Genomic DNA, 19,268 nt, shown 5'->3' on the forward strand with positions numbered 1-19,268 from the left:
CAAAGTCCCAACTTCAAGTGTAATTACTAGGTGCTTTCCCTGTGGGGGGAAAAAAATGGAAATCCTGCTGCATATCATCAGCATCCTTAAGCAGTCCCAGGGTATAATTTCCTCTGCCTCAGTGCTCCGAGGGTATTGGCAAGGGATTCGGACAGCCAACCTCTACCACAGGCACCAACGCAAGCCTTACAGCTCAGCACCTATACGTCATTTCTTTCTTTTTCTTTTCTTTTCTTTTTTTTTTTTTTTTGAGATGGAGTTTCACTCTTGTTGCCCAGGGCTGGAGTGCAATGGTGCGATCTCGGCTCACTGCAACCTCTGCCTCCCGGGTTCAAGCGATTCTCTTGCCTCAGCCTTCCTGAGTAGCTGGGATTACAGGCATGCGCCATCATGCCCGGCTAATTTTGTATTTTTAGTAGAGACGGGGTTTCTCCATGTTGGTCAGGCTGGTCTCAAACTCCCGACCTCAGATGATCCACCCGCCTTGGCCTCCCAAAGTGCTGGGATTACAGGCATGAGCCACTGTGCCCGGCCCAATACGTCATTTCTATTGCCACTTCCCATGCAACATGCCTGCATCCCGTTAAATTGCACAGGGTGCTACAGCAAACCTGGAGAGAGTCCAGTGACCCAAGGCAGAATGTAAGGCTGGCGTTTGGAGAGCTTGGTCACAAAACATCTGAGGCTTGAATACAATGGTGGGTGGGCTGCATCCTCCTGGGAGCATGGCCACAAACATGCACCTTGGTCAGAGGAACCCCAGGACACCAGGGACCAGTGAGGGAAGAAGATGAATTTGAAAACCGTGGAGACAGTTAAGAGGCACGTGAGCACGAGGGCAGATGGGTGCAGCGGGGTTAGGATCTGCCCCAGATGCAGACTCCAAACCTGCTGTGCTCACAAGCTTGGGCCTTCTCATCTCACCCAGGGTGGGAATGATTGGAACAGCGCCCATCGGGGGTATATCATAGGGGTTGAATAAGACAGTGCGTAGAAAACCCTGCTTAAGGCAGAGCTGGCACCAGGAACCACTCAGGAATGCAACCCTCTGTGAGTCCTAATTTCTGTTTACATCTGGCCTGGCCAAGGGTGCCCCTGAGGTTTCAGTTCTTGAGGCCCAAGTTTTCAGGGGATCTCAGAATGACTGATGTGCTTGGTTAAATGCAGATTCTGGGGTCTAACCACTACCCTCGGCCAGCTAAATTGGAATCTCTGTGGTAAGACAGGAATCTGCATCCCCAAATAACCTCCTAAGAGAATCTGATGAATATTAACATGTGAGAACCTCTGGAAGAATGCAGCATTCCTCTCTCTATTCAAAGCAAAGATGGAAAAATGAATAAGGTTTTTTACATTTCCCTGACACAAAAATGGTGCAGGCATGATAGTCCCAGTGTCCCCAGATAATGTTGGGGCAGCAGAGAGGCACCGGTCAGAGAGGGAGGCAGCCAGAACCCTGGAGTTATTATTCGTATGGGACGCACGTGGTCTGCCCTGTATCAGGGCCCCCTACCTGGACAACTGTCGAGGGTCCTTGATCGTCATCCATCTCAGGGTTAAAACCAAACATTCTCTGAGATGTTTTCCTAAACCCAACTACAGATGACAATAGTAAGAATTAAACTGATAAACTAAGGTGGTTGAGTGTTTCCTGAGATTCAGGACAAGGATTTCGCCTACTTTATCCACTTGATCCTCCCAGTTTTCTTATCCTAGTCTGTAGCTGAAGAACCTGAAGTTCTAACATGCTCCAGGTCACACCAAATATCCACTGATAAATGGAAAATGGTGGTGGGGGGAACTAACCACCAGTGTTCTTGATAACCAAAGTAGCATTCTTCACAGCTTCCAAAGCACTTAGCCACTCCTGCCATGGATAGTTTTCTGTTCGTGTGTCAGTTTGCTAGGGATAACGGCTTCCAGCTCCATCTGTGTTTCTGCAAAGGACATGATCTCATTCTTTTTTATGGCTGCATAGTATTCCAGGCTGTGTATGTACCACATTTTCTTGATCCAGTCTATCATTGTTGGGTATTTAGGTTGATTCCATATCTTTGCGATTGTGAATAGTGCTGCAGTGAACATACACGTGCATGTGCACAAGTACCCCTGAACTTAAAAGTTAAAAAAACAAAAAGAGAGAGAATGGATGAATCAGTGCAGGCCTGTGAGCTATCTTAGGATCTCTCTTGTGGAAAAATAACCTTCCTGTTAGAAAGGAGTCAGGGACGCAGAGTAAAATAGGAGTTAGGGATCCAGGCTCTGAAGGAGGTGTGAATGGGTTCTAATCCCAGGTCTTCTGTTTAATGGCTTAATTGTTGTGTGGCCTTAGGCTGGTTCTAATCCTTCACTTCCTTATCTACGAAATTGGGGAAGACGGAGTAACAAAAATAAAATTATTTGATTTTCTTAGCTTTAAGTGAGATTATGTCAGTCCAGTGCCTAATATATTAGAAAGCACTCTTAAGTCTTGCCTTTCTTTCTGGAGTTAGAGTTAAGAGAAACTGAGCATAAGAAATTTTATGATGTAATTTCTTAGAATAAGTTCATAAAAATGGTCTTCCCAGTGAAAATTACAAGTATCTGTAGCATGCTCTGGCCCACATCCTCAGGCTTTCAACATTCTCAGAATTTAAGATCACTGTGAGTAATCTGATTGCTGAGTGGAAAATGCAGGTGTTTAAATGTGATGACAACCATGCACTCTGTGATCCAAGGCCATCATTAGGGACTGAGCCATCCCCAGGGTGCTTAGGCGGATATTGGGAACTCTTTAGCTTGACATTCCTTCCTTCCTTTTTATGTTTGATAAAGTCCATTTGGAACGTATGTTGAGAGGATGGCACATTTTGCATGCAGAACAATTACAACCAGAAGGCAAACATTTGGGGCCATTTTATTGTTCCAAGAAACACCTCAGTGACTGATTTCATAATGCTGGAACCGAACATTGATAATGTTAAAATTAAAACTACATGTGGAGACTACAGCCAGAGTGGCCTCCTTTTCCTGCCGTAGTTAACTGTTTTCTCATTTTGTAGTTTGCATTCATTGTTTTCTTCGCTAATTTGAAATATACGAAGAACTCACAATTTGGCTTCCAACTGTAGAAAAAAAATCCAATTGAATGCACAAGTATTTATTGGGAAACTAGGGTATGAATAGATGTTTTTCCACATTTCCAGTATGGCACGGCATCAAAGGTGCTCTTTTAAAGGAGTGACTATGGAGTAAAAGTGGTGAAACAATCCCAGGCTTCCCAAGAGGTCATTGATTAAATTTGATTTACTCATAATGAAAGACTCACCCATGGCTGGGCACAGTGGCTCACACTTGTAATCCCAGCACTTTGGGAGGCCAAGGTCAGGAGTTTGAGACCAGTCTGGCCAACATGGTGAAACCTTGTCTCTACTAAAAATACAAAAACTTAGCCGGGCGTGGTGGTGGGCGCCTGTAATCCCAGCTACTAGGGAGGCTGAGGCAGGAGAATTGCTTGAGGTTGCGGTGAGCTGAGATCGCACCATTGCACTCCAGCCTGGGCAACAAGAGCAAAACTCCATCAAAAGAAAGAAAGAGAGAAAGAGAAAGAAAGAAAGAGAAAGAAAGAGAAAGAAAGAAAGGAAGAAAGAAAGAAACAAAGAAGAAAGAAAGAAACGACTCACCCATTTACTTGTCTTCTCCCTTCTTGAGCTAAAAATCTGGGTGTGAGATATGGAGGGGGTGGGGTTACTGAGAGTGCCTAGCCAGGAAGGACAAGGACCATGGAAGACAAGTCCACTGCTGGAGGACTCACTGCAGTCCCCAGGACCTCTTTTTTTTTTTATTATTATACTTTAAGTTTTAGGGTACATGTGCACATTGTGCAGGTTAGTTACATATGTATACATGTGCCATGCTGGTGTGCTGCACCCACTAACTCGTCATCTAGGACCTCTTTAATATGTTATTCAGAGCACGATCCTGTTACTTCCCGGCACCAATCACCTCGTGGCACTCCAGGGCAATGAGAAATAATTGCACGTCCGGGTTCTGCCCACCCCTCTTTCTGTCTGCCTGTCTGTCTCTCAGTGTCTTTCTCTATCTCCCTTTCCACCTCCTTCACTATTCACACTTTCTCTGATGTTTCAAATCCCCAAACTTGCAGAGCTCCTTCCAGCTGTGGGGGCCTCTGCATCTCTCTGGGAAAGTCTGTCTCTGCCTTTTCCATCACAGTGGACCTTGGCCAGAGATGTTGCCCAAGATCTTCTTGGAAGTCCCCAAATGTGCATGCCCATCGTGTCCTTCTGCACGAGCTCCAGAGTGTGAGAGGCCGACTGGAGTCAAGAAAGTCTGAGTTGGCTGGAGGCCGCATTCCCTGTGGTCGACCCAGCTTGCTCACTGCCCAGTGACTGGACCCACGCTGCATCATCACCATATGTGATGCCAGTTAGGTCTGGCTGTCCCTGTCCCAGGGCTGCACATGAGTTCCTCCTTTTCATTCTGGCAGGTTGTCTCCCTGGAGCAGCCTTCTCAGCTGAAGTCTCCCGGCTCCCAGCGGCCATCCCATCACCCTGTCTGCCTGTCTTATAACTGGTCACTGGGTGCCTCTTGCCATCTTCAGGGGGCCAGTGCAGCATAAGGAACAGGCGAGCCAGCTGGCTCAGAGGCATCCTGTCTGAGTGCAAAGCCCAGCTTGCCCTGCTTGCTCGAGATGTGTCTTTAGACAAGCAACTTCACCCTTCCATGCCTCAGTTTCCCTACATGCAACATGGGAGTGATGAGTCACCTCATTTGGGGTTATTGTGAGGATTAGGTGGAATAATACCCAAGAAGCACTGGCCAGAGGGTGAACATCCAAGAATGGGAGTTCAGGAGAATATTCCTTTCTCCCTCCCTTGTGCTGGGGCGCACACACTTCTCTTTCTTCTCTGTTCAGTTCCCTCTCTTTGTGAAGCAATGTGGGATATTGGAATGAGTATAGCTTGGGTCTGATCTATCCAGTTTACTAATGGGTAACTTAATCCTTTCTGGACTTCAGTTTCCTACAATGGGAATAATCCTTCTCTCATAGTTGTTGGGAAAACAGAATGAGGGAACAGTTTTTGAATAGCTCCCATGGCTTTTACTGATTCTTATGTTAAAAGACATGTTCAGTTCAACAAATACCAGTCCTCACCATGGTGTTAATCATGGTAATACCTGACCATGATTAGCACCATTGCACTCCAGCCTGGGCAACAAGAGTGTACAATCAATATGCGCTGGGTAGTACAATCAATTCAGTTGCTCCAGGAAAAATAAAGCCCCACTTTTAAGGTGAAATTAAGTATAATGTTAGGCTTTTTTAAAGCTCTTAAAAACTCTAAATTCCATGTAACATCTCCACAAAAGCCTATTGCTTATTGACTTTTCTTTTTTTTTTTTTTGACATGAAGTCTCACTCTTGTCCCCCAGGCTGGAGTGCAATGGCATGATCTCAGCTCACTGCAACCTCTGCCTCCCAGGTTCAAGCAATTCTTCTTAGCTTCCTGAGTAGCTGGGATTACAGGTGCCTGCCACCATGCCCAGCTAATTTTTGTATTTTTAGTAGAGACGGGGTTTCACCATGTTGGCCAGGCTGGTCTTGAACTCCTGACCTCAGGTGATCTGCCCTCCTTGGCCTCCCAAAGTGCTGGGATTACAGGCGTGAGCCACCGTGCCCGGCCGCCTATTGACTTTTCATTGCATTCTACATTTGGACAGGTTTTATATTGAGTTTCACGGAGGTATGATTATAAAACTGCATCATTACTAGTGATGTCACTGCATTGCTTACTACCTTTCTCATTAAAATGATCTATTATTTGAGATTATATTAGACGAGCCTGTGTGGACCTACACTTCTATGGAAAAGGGGCTTTCTCATTTCCAGATAAATCGATTAACAAATGAACCTTCTGAAAACTTGCTTGTGTAAGGAATTCAAATTAAATTTATTCTGTGAATACCTGTCAATATTTCTAATCAACTGGCTGGCTTGAGGTGATTTCTTATAAGAAAAATAACCAGGGATCATCTTCATAATCACTATGGTAGATTGCAAGAGATGGCATCCGGATGGGGTCTTTGCTATCAGCCTGCGGATGCCCTTCAGCAGCACCTGTCCCATCGCAAGACTTCCGTGAGGCTCCAGGGCTCAGCTCCAAGGAGGGCGGGATCCTTCCTGATACTCAGGCTGAACAGCAATGGAGGCAAAGAAAAATTAAGAGCTTGACCGGAAATAGGGGAATCCCTACACAAAAGAAGGAAGTTTGAACACAATAAGAAATGAAATGAGTTCCACGGAAAGGAAACAGGAGCTCTGCTGTGTTGATATAGAGCCTAGAGAGAGAAAAAAAAAACTGCTCTGGATTTTCCCCCAACAGTAGGAGAAATCTGTGCAACCTCCAGCCAGCTGCAGGTGAGGCTAGTGCCTGTCGTCAGGCTGGGGAATGACCTGAAAGCATGGTCAGTCAGTTCAACGTGAAGCTGATATGCCAGAAGAGCGAGCACCTGGCAGGCCTGAACTTACAGCTCTAAGGTCCAGCTCCACCAAGGACACCTCCGTAAATGGAATGTATGACTCTCATCACAGCCAGACTGACAGTACTTGGAGCCAGACTGACAGTTGTCAGTTGTCAGTCCTGGCTTGACCACTCCCTAGCTCTGTTACCCGGACAAGGTGCTTTCCTTCAAAGCACTAGTTTCCTCTTTCATAGGGTGGGATACTAGAAGTGCCTACTTCATATAGAGTGTACAAAGGATGAATCACAAATGAATATAGCACTTAGTGCTGGGTAAATGTCAGCATGGTTATGATGAGGACTGCTGGTAATACACTCATTCCATTCAGTAATTAGCAGAGGGGCTGGGGCAGAAGGAAGAATAAATAAGGCATAACTCAAAGACCTTACAGTCTGGCCAAAACAAGAGTCCCCTTCCTATGATGAGTGATGGGGGGTGTGCACTCCTAGAGAGGCACCTAGAAGGAAGAGAGTAAACATTTCCATAAGGTGGGGTCACTCAACCTGGCAAATGAATTCAGAGTTTTTTCAGGTGGAGACGATAAGAGAAGCAGTGTATATGAACACTTAACTTATGACAAAGATGGCGTTCTAGAGCACTGGGAAAATGGTCATCTTTACAGTAAATTATTCCAAAACAATTGGATATTCATATAAGACAATATATTAAGCTAGGACATGATCGAAAACACAAACTTGGGCTATCTGAATCAAAGAGAAGGTGTGGTCACTCTACCTGCAACCACCTACCTATAATTTCCCTCTTAGGCATATACCCCACAGAAATGCTTGCACAGATGTTACAAGAGATGGACACAGGCATGCATGTAGCAGCATTATTCATGACCGCCACCAGCTGGCAACAACACAAATGTCCACCAACTCCACGATGGATGAATACATCGCAGCGTATCCCTACAATGGAAGACAGCACGCGCAGTCTTTATTGCCAAAGCTCTATGAGAAGTCTTTCTATCCAGTAACATGAAGTCCTCCAATGTTGTTCTTCAAGTTTGTTTTGTTATTCTTGGCACGTCCATTTTCGCAGTAATTTTAGAATCATTTTGTGAATTTCCCAAAAACTTAAGTGAAAGAACACACACAAAAAGATCATTCTGTGTATCTTCATTTATATAAATGGCCCCTCAAATAGGAAGAACTAGACTAATAATGTTTAGAGATACAAGTTCACAGAAATAACCACAAAGAAAGGTGAGGATGCTGTTGCCTTGAACGTGGGATCTAGAAGGGAGGGGAAGCAGTGACTGATGCTGGCTGCTGGCTGTGACTTTTCTCCTGACATGAAGAGAGGTTGCAAGTATTCGCTCTGCGATAGTTCACTAAGCTGTACATTTGGTTTCATGGGGTTTTTTTTTTCCTCTAAATGTGCTTTATTTGACAATAATGTTTTTAATCTGTGGATATAAAATTTAAAAGTTTTGTCCTAAAAGAGACATCATAAAGTGATAAGATGACATGTAAGACAGGGAAGATATTTGTAAAACATAAAACTGATAAATGATTATTGTGCAGAATAAATAATGAATGCCTATAAATCGATTAGCAATATACAGTCAGGGTCAAGGATGAACCACATATATGATGATAATCCCATAGGATTATAATGGAGCTGGAAAATTCCTATCACCTAGCAGTGACGCCATAGCCATCTTCACGTGGCATAAGACATCGTGGTGGTGCTGGTGTAAGCAACCTACCATGCTGCCTGTTGTATAAAAGAGTAGCACATACAATTACGTACAGTACATGGTACTGGCTTATATATTTATAACACCCTGCTTTTAATCATTATTTCAGAATGCACTCCTTCTACACACACACACACACACACATATGTGTATATATACATATATATATATATATACATATATATATATATACATATATATATATATATATATATATATATATATATATATATATATATTTAAAGTTAATTGTAAAACAGCCTCAGGCAGCTCCCTCAGGAGGTATTCCAGAAGAAGGCACTGTCATCATAGGAGATGACAGCTCTATGCATGTAATTGCCCCTGAAAACCTTCCAGTGGGACAGTTATGTGGAGGTGGAAGACAGTGATATAGATGATTCTGACCCTGTGTAGGCCTAGGCTAATGTGTGTGTTTATGTCTTAGTTTTTAATAAAAAAGTTTAAAAAGTTAAAAAAATTGAAAATTTTAAAATAGAAAAAAGCATATAGAATGAGAATATAAAGACAAAAATATTTGGTACAGCTGTACAATGTGTTTGTGTTCTAAGTTAAGTATTATTACAAGAGTCAACTTTTTAAAAATTAAAATGTTTATAAAGTAAAAAAGTTAAAGTAAGATAAATTTATTATTGAAAAAAGGTGTTTTTGTTTGTTTGTTTTTGTTTTTTCGAGACAGAGTCTCATTCTGTTGCCCAGGCTGGAGTGCAGTGGTGCAATCTCTGCTCACTACAACCTCTGCCTCTCGGGTTCAAGCAATTCTCATGCCTCAGCCACCCGAGTAGCTGGGATTACAGGCATGCGCCACCACACTCAGCTAATTTTTTTTTTTAATTTTTTCTATTTTTAGTAGAGATGGGGATTCACCATGTTGGCTAGGCTGGTCTCGAACTCCTGGCCTCAAGTGATCTGCCCGCCTCGGTCTTCCAAAGTGCTGGGATTACAGGTGTGAGCCACTGCACCCAGCCAGGAAAATGTTTTTATAAATGTAGTATAGTCTCAGTCTCAGTGTCCAATGTTTATAAACTCTTCACAGTACAGTACTGTCCTAGGCCTTCACACTCACCCACCAGTCACTCATTCACCCACTCAGAGCAACTTCCAGTCGCTCAGGCTCCATTCATGGTAAGTACCGTATCTTTTTTTTTTTTTTTTTTTTTTTTGAGACAGAGTCTTGCTCTGTCAACAGGCTGGAGTACAGTGGCATGATCTCAGCTTACTGCAAGCTCCACCTCCCAGGTTCAAGCTATTCTCCTGCCTCAGCCTCCTGAGTAGCTGGGACTACAGGGGCTCGCCACCATGCCCAGCTAATTTTTGTATTTTTATGGGGTTTCACCATGTTGGTCGGGACGGTCTCGATCTCTTGACTTCGTGATCTGCCCACCTCAGCCTCCCAAAGTGCTGGGATTACTGGTGTGAGCCACCGCACCCAGCCACCATTTTTATCTTTTATACCCTATTTCTACTGTACCTTTTCTACATACTAACCATTGCATTATAATTGCTTACAGTATTCAGTACACTAGTACAGTCACATTCTGTGCAGGTTTGAAGCCTAGGAATAATAGGCTATCCCATATAGCCTAGGTGTGGAGTATGCTAGGCCATCTAGGTTTGTGTGAGCACATGCTATGATGTTCACACAATGACAAAGTCGCCTAACAACGCATTTCTCAGAATGCATCTTGGACATTAAGCAACACATGACTGTGTATACACATACATACATACACACATGTATGTACATGGATGTACATACTGACATGAATATATACATTTGTGTACATGCATATATGCACATACCTATATATACATTCATATATATAAATTAGACAAAATCCTGGGCAGTCATCACAGAACAGGAAAGATACCTACCAAATAAATATATGAAACCATGTACAGTATTATTAAAAGTCCAAGAAATACAAATTATAATTGAGGGGAGATGCCATTTTACTCTTCCTAGACTGGCCAAATTCAAAGTTCTGGTGACAAAGGAAAACAGAGCAGCCTGGAGAAGTGGCTGATCCAGGCAGGTGAATGAGCCTGGGTATCTTGTACCAAAGGGCAAGGCGGTTAGTAAAGACCACAGTACTGGGCACAGTAGCTCATGCCTGTAATCCCCGCACTTTGGGAGGCCAAGACAGGCAGATCACTTGAGGTTAGGAGTTCGAGACCAGCCTGGCCAACATAGTGAAACCCCGTCTCTACCGAAAATACAAAAATTAGCCAGGCGTGGTCGTGGGCGCCTGTAATCTCAGCTACTTGGGAGGCTGAGGTAGGAGAATCTCTTCAACCTGGGAGGCAGAGGTTGCAGTGAGCCAAGATTGCACCACTACACTCCAGCCTGGGTGACAAAGCAAGACTCCATCTCAAAATAAAATAAAATAACACAAAATAAAAAGTAAGATAAAATAAAAACCACAGTAGAGCCTTAAGGACTCAGCCATCAACTTGTAGGGGCTCCTACCTGCCTGCAATGCAACCATCTGTGCTTTAATAAAAACAATACCACGATAGATTAAAAACTCAGCAAACATTTCAATCCATGACTTCCTCGTGATGCCCAAAAAACATAATTGATCCCCATCAAAAACCTAATTGATCCACATTAGAGGAGGATGTAGTGAATATTACGTAATAATTTTTAAGTAAATAAATATATGTGAAATTAATTGGATGGATTAAACTTAGACGGCAGGGAGTAGAAAGAGGCACAAACAACATGGCCGGGGTACCCGAGAGTCACCGGGTCTGCTAACGGAGCTGGCTTTTGAGCTGGGCACTAAAGGATGGGGTCAAATTCCTCATGAGGGCTTGGGGCAGAGTCCATGGGTCCAGGGCAGAGCATTCAAATGTCAGAGGCAGGAGAACTTGTAATGGCCCCAGCACAGAGTCCGGTTCTCTAGAATTCAGTGGACCTGCAGGGAATTTTAGGGCAAACAGCGGAACCCACAGCATGAAGAGCCCGGGATGGTGGTGTGAGGTGGCGGGGCTCAGTGCAGTCCCCAGAGATCCCTCAGCCCTAGGCCTGGAGAAGTGATCCGCAGGGCTGCAGCGAGAGCTTCTCCCTGCCTCAGCCTTTGATTTGTTCCCACAGGAGACACTCAGCACGAACAGATCTTCCAAGATTTCAGTCACTTTTAGATTTCAGTTGCTTTAAGATTTCAGTCACTTTTAGATTTCAGTTGCTTTAAGATTTCAAGATGGCGGAGTTCAGACTCCTCTGGCGTATTTCCTGGTAGAGTGGGAAGTCCGTCCTGCCAGGGCTGGGCTCCTGCTCAGCCACCCACTCTGCATCCTTGGGCAGGTAATTCCCCTTCTAAGCATCTCTTTCCACTGTTGTGAAAACCTGAGCAAGTGAGTGAGAAGCACAGGAAAGGTGCTCAGTATGTGAGTCCCCTCCACCACCCTCAGAGTCCACCAGCCCTGCAGGGCTCTCCAGCTGCTCAGCCTAACAATCCTGGTCTCCTGGACCCTGGCCCTTGCTCTCTTTTAAGTTCTCTGATATCCATCATGTTTATCTTCTGCTTTCAAAGCTCCAGTTCCAGGGATGTCTTTTTCTGACCCATGGGTTGAGGCTAAGAGGTGAACACATTCCTCATTCGCTTCTCTGCATAGCTCACATTCTTTCTCTGAAGCCCCTGTCCTAGAAAGGATATAATCACTATTGTCAGAGACTTAGCCTGGCGAGAGCGCCCAGGAAAACTCGATCTTAAAAATTGACTCTGTCGCTTTCATCACTCTGGCTGATGGATAAACGTAAGGGTTTAACTCACACATTCTCAGATGTGTTCTAAATATTAGTAACCTTCTACTTTCCAATGAAGACTGATGATAAGCTTTCTCATAGCTGGCTCAACTCTTATATTTGTGTGTAGCTCACACTGACTCCAAGAAGAATTAAGAATCTAATGTAAGCAATGTGAGAAATCCACTCATCCCAAATCATGGTTAAAACTATTGTCTCAAAACAGTAAAATGCATTTCAAAAAAAGATTACATGTCAACTATAATAAACAGGTAGGGTTTCAATCACACAGCAGAATAGAAACAAAGAAGAGGTCACTCTTTCCCCTCTTATTTAAATGACTTTCCAGCTAGTCTAAAAGCAAACAAGTGCTCCGGGTGCTGTGGCTCACGCCTGTAATCCCAGCACTTCGGGAGGCCGAAGTGGGCGGATCACAAGGTCAGGAGTTCAAGACCAGCCTGACCAACATGGTGAAACCCCGTCTCTACTAAAAATACAAAAATTAGCCGGGCGTCATGGCGGGCACCTGTAGTCCCAGCTACTCGGGAGGCTGAGGCAAGAGAATTGCCTGAACTCAGGAGGTGGAGGTTGCAGTGGGCCGAGATCGTACCACTGCACTCCAGCCTGGGCATCAGTGCAAGACTCTATCTCAAAAAATCAAACAAAAACCATACAACAAGTGTCTAATGTGTGTAGAAGCTCTAACTAGGATAACTCGTTTAGTAAGTCATTTTTTTCTAAGACTTCATGTTGTATTTCAAACAGATTTCACTGCCCACTGCTCACCCCTAAGTTGGGCTTCTAAATTGAAATTCTGGACCACAATGCAAATAATTATGTTGCAATATATTGGGGCAGCAAAGTAACTGACTTAAATATCCCATCTACTTTTCAGGGAAACCTGGGCTCCTTGGAGTCCCCAAGAAGCCATCATTTGTTGAGCTTCATTTTCATGGTGGGAAAGGGTTTTTCTCTTGCAGCACAGTTATTAGAAAACGCAAGCTGTGTTGACGCAAATTTTCATAAGCTGTAACAGAAGCGTCCCTTTCTTAAATAAGTCATCAGGACATAAAACTGAACTACTTTGCATGTGGCTTAGCAAAGCCATTGACGAGCTGTGTGGTCTCAGCCTTCTGTTTTCCCTCAGAGCCTTAAATGAACTACTCTCTATGGCCCTTACAGACCTCAGATGCTGAGATTCTCTGAGGTTCCTCCACTGGGACTGATGATTGGAAGCTTTCAAATAGGACAGATTTCTGGACCTGACATAACCCACTGAATTTGTGTCTCTGGGGGAGGGTCCAGGAGCTGCATCTGTAGGAAGTCCCCAGATGCTGCTATTAGGGAGTTCTGGAGGCAGAGGTGTGGGCCATCAGCCATTCCGCAGTGGACCCCTTGGATGATAAATCCTGAACTGATTTTGATTCTGCATGGAGAGATGGACATAAATAAAGCCAAGAAGAAATCTCTGTTAAGCTGAGAAAGTATGCAGTTGTTTCTCAAGACAGACTGAATGGGCCGTGTCTGTAGGAGGAGAAAACTGTAGTCTTCTCAAATTCATTTTCTTTGTGATGTCCCCTAAACAAATCTGGTGGGAGATTTTCCTGTTGTCATCACTTTTTTGGGGGTTGGATAGCTTCGATGTCTCATATTTTCACATTAAGAAGGAAAGGCAGAGAGAACATAGTACCATATAAAAATGATAATAACTTTAAAAGCTTCTGTTCTCTAAGGTGGGGCACATTCCAGGAAATGGTAGGAAGGGAACCAGTTCATGACCATCTGATGGGAGAGGATCTTGTCCCGGAGGGGAGGCGTACCTCAAAATCCTAGACATTAGCCAGAGCAGTCGCTGGGTGTGAACTCCGTCTAAATTGCTAGCTTCCTGTCGTGTACTTAGATCCAGTGCCAAGTTTGAGGATGACTCCTACACCATCTCTCTGGCATCATGCACGGATATGCACAGTGTGGAGAGAGAAACATGCGATGGGGCCACAGAGTGTAATACTGACCCATAGAGTACTATCCCAGCTTATCCTCAGGCTGCCGGAGACACACCCAAATCTGCAGGGCCAAAAGTCCATGTGTCAGAGTAGACAGAGAAGGATGTAACCTAACCCTTTGGCAGAGTCTTCTGGCTCAGAGAGACAATGCCAGTAAAGGAGGCAGATGGAAAGTGGTCAGCATCATCTATGGATTAATTAGTGCCATCCACTAGAGCCCAGTCAAATGGAAGGTTGCCCAGGTATCCCAATGGTATTGTGCAGCTAATGTGATACATGATTTAGACGGCACGCCAAGCATGCTAACATAGACATAAATGGCCAGCGTGTTTTATCCCTGTCCAGTTATCCCTGGAATTATGTAATTTAAGATCAGGATAAAAGAAAAAAGAAACACAATCAAAGAATCACCAAGCTCTAGCTTTACAAGAATGACACATTTGAAATCAAAATACAATTTGATTTTGCAATGGATTGAAAATTGTTCATCCTACCAAGTAGTCCTTTGTTGAAATAGTCTCAGGTGTGCAAGGTCTCAAGTAACAAACCTATGGATAACTTCCTGAATGAACTATTAAAGATGACACAAAGATAAAAATGAGAGATTGGTAGAGCTGTTGTTAAAAGACTGACAGTGTGCGTTGAGATTAAGTAAACAAGTGTAATCACTGTACTTTGATTACAAAATGTACTAAACTAGAAACAGTCTTTGTCGTAGCTTATCTGTATTATTAAAAAAAAGAACAAAACTTGAAACAAGCAAACGACAAATAAAAACAATTTTTTTTTTTTTAGGCGGAGTCTCGCTCTGTCGCTCAGGCTGGAGTGCAATTGCGCGATCTCAGCTCACTGCAACCTCTGCCTCCTGGGTTCAGGCAATTCTCTTACCTCAGCCTTCTAAGTAGCTGGGACTACAGGCATATGCCACCACACCCGGCTAATTTTGTATTTTTAGTAGAGACAGGGTTTCACTGTGTTAGCCAGGATGGTCTTGAACTCCTGACCTCGTGATCCGCCTGCCTCAGCCTCCCAAAGTGCTGGGATTACAGGCGTGGGACACTGCACCCAGCCATAAAAACAATTTTTAAAAACAGGCTATAGGCCGGGCTCAGTGGCTCACGTCTACAATCCCAGCAATTTGGGAGGCCGAGTGGAGCAGATCATCTGAGGTCAGGAGTTTGAAACCAGCCTGGCCAACATGGTGAAACCCCATCTCTACTAAAATTACAAAAATTAGCCTGGCATGGTAGCTCGTGCCTGTAGTCCCAGCTACTTGGGAGGCTGAGGCATGAGAATTGCTTGAACCTAGGAGGCAGAGGTTGCAGTGAGCTGAGATCGTGCCACCGCACTCCAGCCTGGGTGACAGAGTGAGACTCTATCTCAAAAAAAAAAAAGCAGGCTATAATCCCAATAACAATAATGGGGTGAAGTTGTCACCTAATTTCTTATATTCTGTAAAACAGTTCAATTTATTATTTTACAGCATAAATAGAAATGTATGGGCTTAAGAATGGCTTTGAAAGGTTTTGTTCCCTCTGATAGAATTTAAAGGAATGTATGACTTTCCATTGTACTATAGAGTGTAATGGCTAAGAAAATCCAGCATGTATGGTGACCGTGGCAAAAGGCCTCTTAAAATGTAGAGGAACAGACAAAATGGTGGTGCATGTGAAACACCCAGTAACATGAGCTCTGACATTATAAATGAGGAGTGTTATAATTAAGATGTTTTCTAAGCCAGCATAGATTTATGCTTACGCTTCTGATAAGAGCTCCGCCTGGCATTTGGAGCTACAGCTAGCATGCCGTGCTGAAGCTGACCGCACCCTCACCCATCTTATCTATGCTAATGCCCACAGGAAGTGAAAGATACCATGCTTCTGTAATCTCACCCATGGATACATCTTTTGATGAGGAAGAAGGCAAGGGCTGATGCATGCAATACAAGTTATGAACATTTCTGTAAGCAGGGAAATAGCATCCACAGATACCACGTCATTTCTTTATTTCACCATTACTTTTGAGCAATGACATTGGGTTTTCGAGAGAAAGACCCTTGCTCCATTTGAACCAGCATTGTTTGCCATAAGACAACCAATAAACAAGCAACCAACCTAACAATAAAAACATCCATTGGTGACAGGAGCTATAAAGAGAACTGCAATGAGGTGATGTAATAGAGTGCTATCCTAGCTGGGTGGTGAAGGTGACACTCTAAGAGATGGCAACTGGCAGAATTCCAAAGAACAAGTGCCAGCCAGGTAGAAATGCAAGGAAGAGCATTCCAGGCAGAGGGAAGAGCTGACACAAAGGTAACAGGCAAGGAAATATCCTGCCATCAAAGAAGAACCATGGAAAGTGTGGAGGGCCAGAGACAACACAGAGCATGGCTGGAGAGGAGAACAGAATGTGTTCAGTGATGGAAGCTGAAGTCAGGCTTACCTTGGTGAGCCAGGATGGGACTTTAGATTGTGTTTGTGTTTTGTAGGTCCATCAGTAAGGTTTATGCAGAGACTGCCATGATCTCATTCCAATGTTGTAAAAAATCATGAAAACGTGGAGACCACACTTTAGTGGGCTCTGGGAGACAGTAGCAGAATCCAGAAGGCCGGGTAGGAAGCCACTTCAGTAGTTGAGGTGTGAAAGATTGTGCCTTACACCAGGATGGTAGGGGTGGAGATAGAAGTAGATGAATTGGGAGCATGTTTTGGAGGCAAAGATAATAAGACTTGTTGAAGAACCAGACACAGGGAGTGAGAAAAGAAAGGTGATAGAATCTGCAGAAGGAGCAGGTTTGTGGGATCGGAATTGTTTTGGCCATGTTGAGCTAGAGAGGGCAATCAGGCATCCATGGGAGATGCCAATTATATAGTAGACACAGTGTCGGGAGTTGTGGGGAGGTGGAGACAAACGATGTGGAAGTCATTTGCCAATAGATGCTTTTAAAAGTCCTGGCACTAGTCAAGGATTACAGTGTGGTCAGAGAAGAGAGATGAGTCCAGGACAGAGAACCACATCAAGGGGAACAGTCAGGGGAGAGCCAGGAGGTGGCACCCAGGGCAGAAACCAAGAAGGAACAGCAGGGAGGAGAGAGGGAGACCAGGAGAACATGGTAATGAAGATGCCAAGACAGGGAGGCGTTTCCAGAAGGGAAGGCATCTGTCTGTGGTGTGCTAAGAAGCTGAAGTGATGATACCAGTAAAATGGACAGTATCACCACTCATTTGAATGAGATAAAAACATGCAAAGTTGACATTTGATTGCAACGTGAGGTTGATATCCACTTAGTCTTCGAAGGAAAATATACTTGGTTCCTTTATGAATTGTATAAGGGGATTTAGAAAAAGTAGGCAAGTGCTCCAAGTTGAAAGAAAAATACTTCATTTAAAAGTTCACATTAAAAAGTTGGAAAAGCCAAATCTTTCCCCCTTATAATTAAAACACACACACACACACACACACACACACACACACACACAGACATACACACGTGCACAGAGATTTTTAAATTGGGGTTTTAATACTCACATATTTATAAGGCACTTCATATCTTGATAACATCTGCATGGTGTGATTTACCTGCATGCAAATTTGGAAAGGATGTTATAAGAATCTGACCAGATGCATGAGGGTGTGTCCCCGTGTCCCACATGTGGCTGTCATCCCTCAGTGTACTGCGGCAGCAGAGACTGAGACAGCCACTCTGGGGTGGTGTCCAGGTGTGGCCCTGGAGCCCTCTGTGTCCTGGCCAGCCACTCTGTGCTGTGAGCTGAGTGGAGTCTCAAGTGGGAGGCCAGCCTCACCTCTGGAGCTGACGGTTTTACCATGATTTTTTTTTTCTTACCAGTTTGACCAGTTTTCGCTTTTAGACAACAGGTAAGCTCCGTGAGGAATTTCTCTAGTTTCTGCATCAAGCACATCATCATCACGATATTAACATCAGACGGAGAGTGATAGTAGTATGGCCAACCACCCCTGTGGGCTGCCAATGGGCTGGCAGCGCCATAACTTCTGCCCCAGCCTGCCCTCTCGTCCACCATCATTCACCACACAGCATGGGCAGAAAGATGCATCCTGTCAGTAGAACATTTGAGTTCATTTATTTATATCAGATGTACCAAAATGACAAAATTGTTTCTTCATAAATGAAATAATAACCTGAGAAGGAGAGAAATGGCATCATTAAGAGCTAGGGAAATAGAAGTGAAGACAGTTATAAGTAAACCTCAGGCATTCCTCTTCTGTGGAAAATGTTAATGTCTTTTGCCAGCATTAGAAAATATGTTTGTGATGTTTACAGCATCCACAAAGTAATTAAGCTCCTGGCCATATAAAAATTGCCCACATTGACTTAGCTCCAGCCGTGTGCATTTGGCTGCAGGAATGAGATTTGAGGTCTAAACCTGAAGCCAGTCAAGTTATTAAGGGCTACTTAGTGGCATATCTAATTATGCATAGAAAAATGTGTTTCCAGAATTGCATCTAGCGGAGCTAACGGTGACCATAATGGCATTAATATAGATAGAAAAGCTTTACATGCGAGAAGGCCCATCATTATGTCATCTATAATGGCAAAAACAAAAGAAAACAATAAAAACAGGGGAAATAATAAATTATGGCATAGTATTGGAATATTATGCAGACAGAGGGTTTTTGTGGACTATTTCAGGTTATGGGAAAATATTCATTGTATAATCATACTTTTCTTTTTGAGATGGAGTCTCACTCTTTTGTCCAGGCTGGAGTGCAGTGGCACAATCTTGGCTCACTGAATCCTCTGCCCTACTGGGTTCAAGCTATTCTCCTGCCTCAGCCTCCCAAGTAGCTGGGATTACAGGCACCCACCACCATGCCTGGCTAATTTCTGTATTTTTAGTACAGACAGGGTTTCTCCATGGTGGCCAGGCTGGTCTCAAACTCCTGACCGCAGGTGATCCGCCCATCTCAGTCTCCCAAAGTGCCAGGATTACAGGCATGAGCAACCGCACCTGGAGGATAATAGATTTTTTTTTTTTAAAGCAAGAAACAACAGCATAAAAGATGGCAGGAAATATACCAACAGGTTAACAAATATTATTGCAAAATGAAGGGAACATGGATGATGGTTTTTTACTCTTTTCTGTATTTCCTAAAGTGTCAAGAATGAATGTATGTTTTATAAATCAGATGATGCCATCTTAGGATGGTGATATGGTTTGGCTATGTCCCCACCCAAATCTCATCTTGAAATGTAGTTCCCGTAATCCCCATGTGTTGTGGGAGGGAC

At 43.8% G+C, this 19,268-nt stretch overlaps 1 annotated feature.

Moving 5' to 3' along the window:
- Positions 3,974-4,474: an enhancer, noted in NCBI's record as "H3K4me1 hESC enhancer chr2:235311534-235312034 (GRCh37/hg19 assembly coordinates)". NCBI's record gives its function as "activates a minimal SCP1, AML or CMV promoter by ChIP-STARR-seq in primed H9 embryonic stem cells {active_cell/tissue: H9 hESC(primed)}" and the evidence as "EXISTENCE:reporter gene assay evidence [ECO:0000049][PMID:30033119]".

This window comes from Homo sapiens, chromosome 2 (assembly GCF_000001405.40).
Source record: "Homo sapiens chromosome 2, GRCh38.p14 Primary Assembly".
Taxonomy (NCBI): domain Eukaryota; kingdom Metazoa; phylum Chordata; class Mammalia; order Primates; family Hominidae; genus Homo; species Homo sapiens.